The following is a 9,201-nucleotide window of genomic DNA, read 5'->3' as shown; positions in this document are numbered from 1 at the left end:
CGCCTGCTGATCTGATGCGCTCCAATCCCGTGCCTCGCCGAAGTGTTTTTAAAGTGTTCTTTCCAACCTGTGTCTTTGGGGCTGAGAACTGTTTTCTGAATACAGGCGGAACTGCTTCCGTCGGCCTAGAGCGCAGCCTGCGACTGCGGGACCCAAGTTCCACGTGCTGCCGCGGCCTGGGATAGCTTCCTCCCCTCGTGCACTGCTGCCGCACACACCTCTTGGCTGTCGCGCATTACGCACCTCACGTGTGCTTTTGCCCCCCGCTACGTGCCTACCTGTCCCCAATACCACTCTGCTCCCCAAAGGATAGTTCTGTGTCCGTAAATCCCATTCTGTCACCCCACCTACTCTCTGCCCCCCCCTTTTTTGTTTTGAGACGGAGTCTTGCTCTGTCGCCCAGGCTGGAGTGCAATGGCGCGATCTCGGCTCACTGCAACCTCCGCCTCCCGGGTTCAAGCGATTCTCCTGCCTCAGCCTCCTGAGTAGCTGGGGTTACAGCGCCCGCCACCACGCTCGGCTAATTTTTGTAGTTTTTAGTAGAGACGAGGTTTCACCATCTTGGCCAGGCTGGTCTTGAACCCCTGACCTTGTGATCCACTCGCCTCGGCCTTCCAAAGTGTTGGGATTACGGGCGTGAGCCACCGTGCCACGCCCGATCTGCCTCTTAAGTACATAACGGCCCACACAGAACGTGTCCAACTCCCCCGCCCACGTTCCAACGTCCTCTCCCACATACCTCGGTGCCCCTTCCACATACCTCAGGACCCCACCCGCTTAGCTCCATTTCCTCCAGACGCCACCACCACGCGTCCCGGAGTGCCCCCTCCTAAAGCTCCCAGCCGTCCACCATGCTGTGCGTTCCTCCCTCCCTGGCCACGGCAGTGACCCTTCTCTCCCGGGCCCTGCTTCCCTCTCGCGGGCTCTCGCTGCCTCACTTAGGCAGCGCTGCCCTTACTCCTCTCCGCCCGGTCCGAGCGGCCCCTCAGCTTGCGCGGCCCAGCCCCGCAAGGCTCCCGGTGACCACTAGAGGGCGGGAGGAGCTCCTGGCCAGTGGTGGAGAGTGGCAAGGAAGGACCCTAGGGTTCATCGGAGCCCAGGTTTACTCCCTTAAGTGGAAATTTCTTCCCCCACTCCCTCCTTGGCTTTCTCCAAGGAGGGAACCCAGGCTGCTGGAAAGTCCGGCTGGGGCGGGGACTGTGGGTTTCAGGGTAGAACTGCGTGTGGAACGGGACAGGGAGCGGTTAGAAGGGTGGGGCTATTCCGGGAAGTGGTGGGGGGAGGGAGCCCAAAACTAGCACCTAGTCCACTCATTATCCAGCCCTCTTATTTCTCGGCCCCGCTCTGCTTCAGTGGACCCGGGGAGGGCGGGGAAGTGGAGTGGGAGACCTAGGGGTGGGCTTCCCGACCTTGCTGTACAGGACCTCGACCTAGCTGGCTTTGTTCCCCATCCCCACGTTAGTTGTTGCCCTGAGGCTAAAACTAGAGCCCAGGGGCCCCAAGTTCCAGACTGCCCCTCCCCCCTCCCCCGGAGCCAGGGAGTGGTTGGTGAAAGGGGGAGGCCAGCTGGAGAACAAACGGGTAGTCAGGGGGTTGAGCGATTAGAGCCCTTGTACCCTACCCAGGAATGGTTGGGGAGGAGGAGGAAGAGGTAGGAGGTAGGGGAGGGGGCGGGGTTTTGTCACCTGTCACCTGCTCCGGCTGTGCCTAGGGCGGGCGGGCGGGGAGTGGGGGGACCGGTATAAAGCGGTAGGCGCCTGTGCCCGCTCCACCTCTCAAGCAGCCAGCGCCTGCCTGAATCTGTTCTGCCCCCTCCCCACCCATTTCACCACCACCATGACACCGGGCACCCAGTCTCCTTTCTTCCTGCTGCTGCTCCTCACAGTGCTTACAGGTGAGGGGCACGAGGTGGGGAGTGGGCTGCCCTGCTTAGGTGGTCTTCGTGGTCTTTCTGTGGGTTTTGCTCCCTGGCAGATGGCACCATGAAGTTAAGGTAAGAATTGCAGACAGAGGCTGCCCTGTCTGTGCCAGAAGGAGGGAGAGGCTAAGGACAGGCTGAGAAGAGTTGCCCCCAACCCTGAGAGTGGGTACCAGGGGCAAGCAAATGTCCTGTAGAGAAGTCTAGGGGGAAGAGAGTAGGGAGAGGGAAGGCTTAAGAGGGGAAGAAATGCAGGGGCCATGAGCCAAGGCCTATGGGCAGAGAGAAGGAGGCTGCTGCAGGGAAGGAGGCGGCCAACCCAGGGGTTACTGAGGCTGCCCACTCCCCAGTCCTCCTGGTATTATTTCTCTGGTGGCCAGAGCTTATATTTTCTTCTTGCTCTTATTTTTCCTTCATAAAGACCCAACCCTATGACTTTAACTTCTTACAGCTACCACAGCCCCTAAACCCGCAACAGTTGTTACGGGTTCTGGTCATGCAAGCTCTACCCCAGGTGGAGAAAAGGAGACTTCGGCTACCCAGAGAAGTTCAGTGCCCAGCTCTACTGAGAAGAATGCTGTGAGTATGACCAGCAGCGTACTCTCCAGCCACAGCCCCGGTTCAGGCTCCTCCACCACTCAGGGACAGGATGTCACTCTGGCCCCGGCCACGGAACCAGCTTCAGGTTCAGCTGCCACCTGGGGACAGGATGTCACCTCGGTCCCAGTCACCAGGCCAGCCCTGGGCTCCACCACCCCGCCAGCCCACGATGTCACCTCAGCCCCGGACAACAAGCCAGCCCCGGGCTCCACCGCCCCCCCAGCCCACGGTGTCACCTCGGCCCCGGACACCAGGCCGGCCCCGGGCTCCACCGCCCCCCAAGCCCACGGTGTCACCTCGGCCCCGGACACCAGGCCGGCCCCGGGCTCCACCGCCCCCCCAGCCCACGGTGTCACCTCGGCCCCGGACACCAGGCCCGCCCCGGGCTCCACCGCCCCCCCAGCCCACGGTGTCACCTCGGCCCCGGACACCAGGTCCGCCCCGGGCTCCACCGCGCCCGCAGCCCACGGTGTCACCTCGGCCCCGGACACCAGGTCGGTCCCGGGCTCCACCGCCCCCCAAGCCCACGGTGTCACCTCGGCCCCGGACACCAGGCCGGCCCCGGGCTCCACCGCCCCCCCAGCCCACGGTGTCACCTCGGCCCCGGACACCAGGCCGGTTCCGGGCTCCACCGCCCCCCCAGCCCACGGTGTCACCTCGGCCCCGGACACCAGGCCGGCCCCGGGCTCCACCGCCCCCCCAGTCTACGGTGTCACCTCGGCCTCGGAGAGCAGGCCGGACCCGGGCTCCACCGCGCCCGCAGTCTACGATGTCACCTCGGCCCTCGGAGAGAAGGACGGACCCGGGCTCCACCGCGCCCGCAGCCCACGGTGTCACCTCGGCCCCGGACACCAGGCCGGCCCCGGGCTCCACCGCCCCCCAAGCCCACGGTGTCACCTCGGCCCCGGACACCAGGCCGGCCCCGGGCTCCACCGCCCCCCCAGCCCACGGTGTCACCTCGGCCCCGGACACCAGGCCCGCCCCGGGCTCCACCGCCCCCCCAGCCCACGGTGTCACCTCGGCCCCGGACACCAGGCCCGCCCCGGGCTCCACCGCGCCCGCAGCCCACGGTGTCACCTCGGCCCCGGACACCAGGCCGGCCCCGGGCTCCACCGCCCCCCAAGCCCACGGTGTCACCTCGGCCCCGGACACCAGGCCGGCCCCGGGCTCCACCGCCCCCCCAGCCCACGGTGTCACCTCGGCCCCGGACCCCTGCCGGCCCCGGGCTCCACCGCCCCCCCAGCCCAGTTTTCCAACCCCGGACACCAGGCCGGCCCCGGCTCCACCGCCCCCCCAGACACCAGGCCGGCCCCGGGCTCCACCGCCCCCCAAGCCCACGGTGTCACCTCGACCCCGGACACCAGGCCGGCCCCGGGCTCCACCGCCCCCCCAGCCCACGGTGTCACCTCGGCCCCGGACACCAGGCCCGCCCCGGGCTCCACCGCCCCCCCAGCCCACGGTGTCACCTCGGCCCCGGACACCAGGCCCGCCCCGGGCTCCACCGCGCCCGCAGCCCACGGTGTCACCTCGGCCCCGGACACCAGGCCGGCCCCGGGCTCCACCGCCCCCCAAGCCCACGGTGTCACCTCGGCCCCGGACACCAGGCCGGCCCCGGGCTCCACCGCCCCCCCAGCCCACGGTGTCACCTCGGCCCCGGACACCAGGCCGGCCCCAGGGCTCCACCGCCCCCCCAGCCCACGGTGTCACCTCGGCCCCGGACACCAGGCCGGCCCCGGGCTCCCCCCCCCCCCCAGCCCACGGTGTCACCTCGGCCCCGGAGAGTTCCGCCCCGGGCTCCACCGCGCCCGCAGCCCACGGTGTCACCTCGGCCCCAGAGAGCAGGCCGGCCCCGGGCTCCACCGCGCCCGCAGCCCACGGAGTCACCACGGCCCCGGAAAGCAGTTCTGGCCCGGGCTCCACCGCGCCCCCAGCCCACGGTGTCACCTCGGCCCCGGACACCAGGCCGGCCCCGGGCTCCACCGCGCCCGCAGCCCACGGTGTCACCTCGGCCCCGGAGAGCAGGCCGGCCCCGGGCTCCACCGCGCCCGCAGCCCACGGTGTCACCTCGGCCCCGGAGAGCAGGCCGGCCCCGGGCTCCACCGCCCCCCCAGCCCACGGTGTCACCTCGGCCCCGGACACCAGGCCGGCCCCGGGCTCCACCGCCCCCCCAACCCACGGTGTCACCTCGGCCCCGGACACCAGTCCCGCCCCGGGCTCCACCGCCCCCCCAGCCCACGGTGTCACCTCGGCCCCGGACACAAGGCCCGCCCCGGGCTACACCGCGCCCGCAGCCCACGGTGTCACCTCGGCCCCGGACACCAGGCCGGCCCCGGGCTCCACCGCCCCCCAAGCCCACGGTGTCACCTCGGCCCCGGACACCAGGCCGGCCCCGGGCTCCACCGCCCCCCCAGCCCACGGTGTCACCTCGGCCCCGGACACCAGGCCGGCCCCGGGCTCCACCGCCCCCCCAGCCCACGGTGTCACCTCGGCCCCGGACACCAGGCCGGCCCCGGGCTCCACCGCCCCCCCAGCCCACGGTGTCACCTCGGCCCCGGAGAGCAGGCCGGCCCCGGGCTCCACCGCGAGAGCAGCCCACGGTGTCACCTCGGCCCCGGAGAGCAGGCCGGCCCCGGGCTCCACCGCCCCCCCAGCCCACGGTGTCACCTCGGCCCCGGACACCAGGCCGGCCCCGGGCTCCACCGCCCCCCCAGCCCACGGTGTCACCTCGGCCCCGGACACCAGGCCGGCCCCGGGCTCCACCGCCCCCCCAGCCCACGGTGTCACCTCGGCCCCGGACACCAGGCCGGCCCCGGGCTCCACCGCCCCCCCAGCCCACGGTGTCACCTCGGCCCCGGACACCAGGCCGGCCCCGGGCTCCACCGCCCCCCCAGCCCACGGTGTCACCTCGGCCCCGGACACCAGGCCGTCCCCGGGCTCCACCGCGCCCGCAGCCCACGGTGTATATTTAAAACAGAGAGCAGGCCGGCCCCGGGCTCCACCGCGCCCGCAGCCCAGCTCACAGTGTCACCTCGGCCCCGGACACCAGGCCGGCCTCGGGCTCCACCGACACTCCAGCACACGGTGTCACCTCGGCCCCGGACAACAGACCGGCTCCGGGCTCCACCGCCCCCCCAGCCCACGGTGTCACCTCGGCACCGGACACCAGGCCGGCCCCCGGGCTCCACCGCCCCCCCAGCCCACGGTGTCACCTCGGCCCCGGACACCAGGCCGGCCCCGGGCTCCACCGCCCCCCCAGTCCACGGTGTCACCTCGGCCCCGGACACCAGGCCGGCACCGGGCTCCACCGCCCCCCCAGCCCACGGTGTCACCTCGGCCCCGGACACCAGGCCGGCCCCGGGCTCCACCGCCCCCCCAGCCCACGGTGTCACCTCGGCCCCGGACACCAGGCCGGCCCCGGGCTCCACCGCACCCCCAGCCCACGGTGTCACCTCGGCCCCGGACACCAGGCGGGCCCCGGGCTCCACCCCGGCCCCGGGCTCCACCGCCCCCCCAGCCCACGGTGTCACCTCGGCCCCGGACACCAGGCCGGCCCCGGGCTCCACCGCCCCCCCAGCCCATGGTGTCACCTCGGCCCCGGACAACAGGCCCGCCTTGGGCTCCACCGCCCCTCCAGTCCACAATGTCACCTCGGCCTCAGGCTCTGCATCAGGCTCAGCTTCTACTCTGGTGCACAACGGCACCTCTGCCAGGGCTACCACAACCCCAGCCAGCAAGAGCACTCCATTCTCAATTCCCAGCCACCACTCTGATACTCCTACCACCCTTGCCAGCCATAGCACCAAGACTGATGCCAGTAGCACTCACCATAGCACGGTACCTCCTCTCACCTCCTCCAATCACAGCACTTCTCCCCAGTTGTCTACTGGGGTCTCTTTCTTTTTCCTGTCTTTTCACATTTCAAACCTCCAGTTTAATTCCTCTCTGGAAGATCCCAGCACCGACTACTACCAAGAGCTGCAGAGAGACATTTCTGAAATGGTGAGTATCGGCCTTTCCTTCCCCATGCTCCCCTGAAGCAGCCATCAGAACTGTCCACACCCTTTGCATCAAGCCTGAGTCCTTTCCCTCTCACCCCAGTTTTTGCAGATTTATAAACAAGGGGGTTTTCTGGGCCTCTCCAATATTAAGTTCAGGTACAGTTCTGGGTGTGGACCCAGTGTGGTGGTTGGAGGGTGGGTGGTGGTCATGACCGTAGGGAGGGACTGGTGCACTTAAGGTTGGGGGAAGAGTGCTGAGCCAGAGCTGGGACCCGTGGCTGAAGTGCCCATTTCCCTGTGACCAGGCCAGGATCTGTGGTGGTACAATTGACTCTGGCCTTCCGAGAAGGTACCATCAATGTCCACGACGTGGAGACACAGTTCAATCAGTATAAAACGGAAGCAGCCTCTCGATATAACCTGACGATCTCAGACGTCAGCGGTGAGGCTACTTCCCTGGCTGCAGCCCAGCACCATGCCGGGGCCCCTCTCCTTCCAGTGTCTGGGTCCCCGCTCTTTCCTTAGTGCTGGCAGCGGGAGGGGCGCCTCCTCTGGGAGACTGCCCTGACCACTGCTTTTCCTTTTAGTGAGTGATGTGCCATTTCCTTTCTCTGCCCAGTCTGGGGCTGGGGTGCCAGGCTGGGGCATCGCGCTGCTGGTGCTGGTCTGTGTTCTGGTTGCGCTGGCCATTGTCTATCTCATTGCCTTGGTGAGTGCAGTCCCTGGCCCTGATCAGAGCCCCCCGGTAGAAGGCACTCCATGGCCTGCCATAACCTCCTATCTCCCCAGGCTGTCTGTCAGTGCCGCCGAAAGAACTACGGGCAGCTGGACATCTTTCCAGCCCGGGATACCTACCATCCTATGAGCGAGTACCCCACCTACCACACCCATGGGCGCTATGTGCCCCCTAGCAGTACCGATCGTAGCCCCTATGAGAAGGTGAGATTGGGCCCCACAGGCCAGGGGAAGCAGAGGGTTTGGCTGGGCAAGGATTCTGAAGGGGGTACTTGGAAAACCCAAAGAGCTTGGAAGAGGTGAGAAGTGGCGTGAAGTGAGCAGGGGAGGGCCTGGCAAGGATGAGGGGCAGAGGTCAGAGGAGTTTTGGGGGACAGGCCTGGGAGGAGACTATGGAAGAAAGGGGCCCTCAAGAGGGAGTGGCCCCACTGCCAGAATTCCTAAAAGATCATTGGCCGTCCACATTCATGCTGGCTGGCGCTGGCTGAACTGGTGCCACCGTGGCAGTTTTGTTTTGTTTTGCTTTTTTGCACCCAGAGGCAAAATGGGTGGAGCACTATGCCCAGGGGAGCCCTTCCCGAGGAGTCCCAGGGGTGAGCCTCTGTGCCCCTAATCATCTCCTAGGAATGGAGGGTAGACCGAGAAAGGCTGGCATAGGGGGAGGTTTCCCAGGTAGAAGAAGAAGTGTCAGCAGACCAGGTGAGCGTGGGTGCCAGTGGGGTTCTTGGGAGCTTCAAGGAAGCAAGGAACGCTCCCTCCTTCCTCTCCTGGTCTTTCTCTATGGGACCTAGTAAATAATTACTGCAGCCACCTGAGGCTGGAAAACCACTCCAGGTGGGGGAGGAGAGAGTTTAGTTTTCTTGCTCCTATTTTCCTCCTCCTGGAGACCTCCCTCTCTCGGCTTTACAAAGACACAGATACACCCCGCCCCCCAAAACACACACACACACACACACACACCTCCTTAGGCTGGAACAGCAGAGAATGGAGGGACAAGGGGGCTGATTAGAGCCAAGAAGAGGGAGTGAAGGAGAGCAGAGGGAGGAGGGCAGCCCTGTTTACAGTCACCTGGCTGGTGGGGTGGCAGGTGCTCTCTCTGAATTAACCCTTTGAGAGCTGGCCAGGACTCTGGACTGATTACCCCAGCCTGGGGTGGCATCCAGGGGCTCTAGGAGGTACCTTTTGCTCCTCACCCTGGATCTCTTTTCCTTCCACCCAGGTTTCTGCAGGTAATGGTGGCAGCAGCCTCTCTTACACAAACCCAGCAGTGGCAGCCACTTCTGCCAACTTGTAGGGGCACGTCGCCCGCTGAGCTGAGTGGCCAGCCAGTGCCATTCCACTCCACTCAGGTTCTTCAGGGCCAGAGCCCCTGCACCCTGTTTGGGCTGGTGAGCTGGGAGTTCAGGTGGGCTGCTCACAGCCTCCTTCAGAGGCCCCACCAATTTCTCGGACACTTCTCAGTGTGTGGAAGCTCATGTGGGCCCCTGAGGGCTCATGCCTGGGAAGTGTTGTGGTGGGGGCTCCCAGGAGGACTGGCCCAGAGAGCCCTGAGATAGCGGGGATCCTGAACTGGACTGAATAAAACGTGGTCTCCCACTGCGCCAACTTCTGATCTTTCATCTGTGACCCGTGGGCAGCAGGGCGGTCAGAATGTGTGTGAGGGGGCTGGGGGAGGAGACAGGGAGGCCAGGAGGCAGTAAGGAGCGAGTTTGTTTGAGAAGCAGGAGATGTGAGGAGGAGGTGACATTGGGGAGTAGGGGTGGCCTGAGGAGCCACCTCTGGCTAACCCTGGCAGCACAAGAGGAAGGAGGAAACGAAACCCAGGCGGGCTTTGGAGGGCTAGCGTGACTGGGCTCCGTGACTGAGCTCTGTGTGCCAGTGGCTCTCCCCTCTCCTCGCCTGGCCCACGCCCTCCTTGCCCCCTGGCATGGTGCCCCCCAGGTGGCTCTA

General features: G+C 66.6%; 1 protein-coding gene across 21 annotated transcripts; it reads left to right on the top strand.

Annotated features, from left to right (window-relative positions):
* MUC1 (mucin 1, cell surface associated) lies at positions 1,765 to 8,856 on the top strand. 21 transcript variants are annotated; one of them, NM_001371720.2, is given in 12 exon segments: positions 1,771 to 1,894; positions 2,370 to 3,132; positions 3,374 to 3,699; positions 4,029 to 4,191; positions 4,193 to 4,300; positions 4,478 to 5,440; positions 5,746 to 6,517; positions 6,617 to 6,672; positions 6,822 to 6,958; positions 7,104 to 7,225; positions 7,306 to 7,455; positions 8,471 to 8,856. In NM_001371720.2, coding segments are annotated over 12 exon segments (3,693 nt in total). In that variant the 5' UTR covers positions 1,771 to 1,836; the 3' UTR covers positions 8,546 to 8,856.
* Positions 8,857 to 9,201: the final 345 nt, after the last annotated feature.

The sequence above is a fragment of the Homo sapiens genome, chromosome 1 (assembly GCF_000001405.40).
Source record: "Homo sapiens chromosome 1, GRCh38.p14 Primary Assembly".
In the NCBI taxonomy this organism is placed as follows: Eukaryota; Metazoa; Chordata; class Mammalia; order Primates; family Hominidae; genus Homo; species Homo sapiens.
This window is presented reverse-complemented; position numbering and strand designations above follow the sequence as displayed.

Excerpts from the sequence above, each read along its gene's own strand:
- MUC1 (NM_001204286.1), top strand. The coding sequence starts at position 1,837 with ATGACACCGGGCACCCAGTCTCCTTTCTTCCTGCTGCTGCTCCTCACA. Across the intron at positions 1,895-2,369 it reads GCTCCTCACAGTGCTTACAG|CTACCACAGCCCCTAAACCC; the intron begins GTGAGGGGCACG and ends AACTTCTTACAG. Across the intron at positions 6,959-7,103 it reads GACGATCTCAGACGTCAGCG|TGAGTGATGTGCCATTTCCT; the intron begins GTGAGGCTACTT and ends TTTTCCTTTTAG.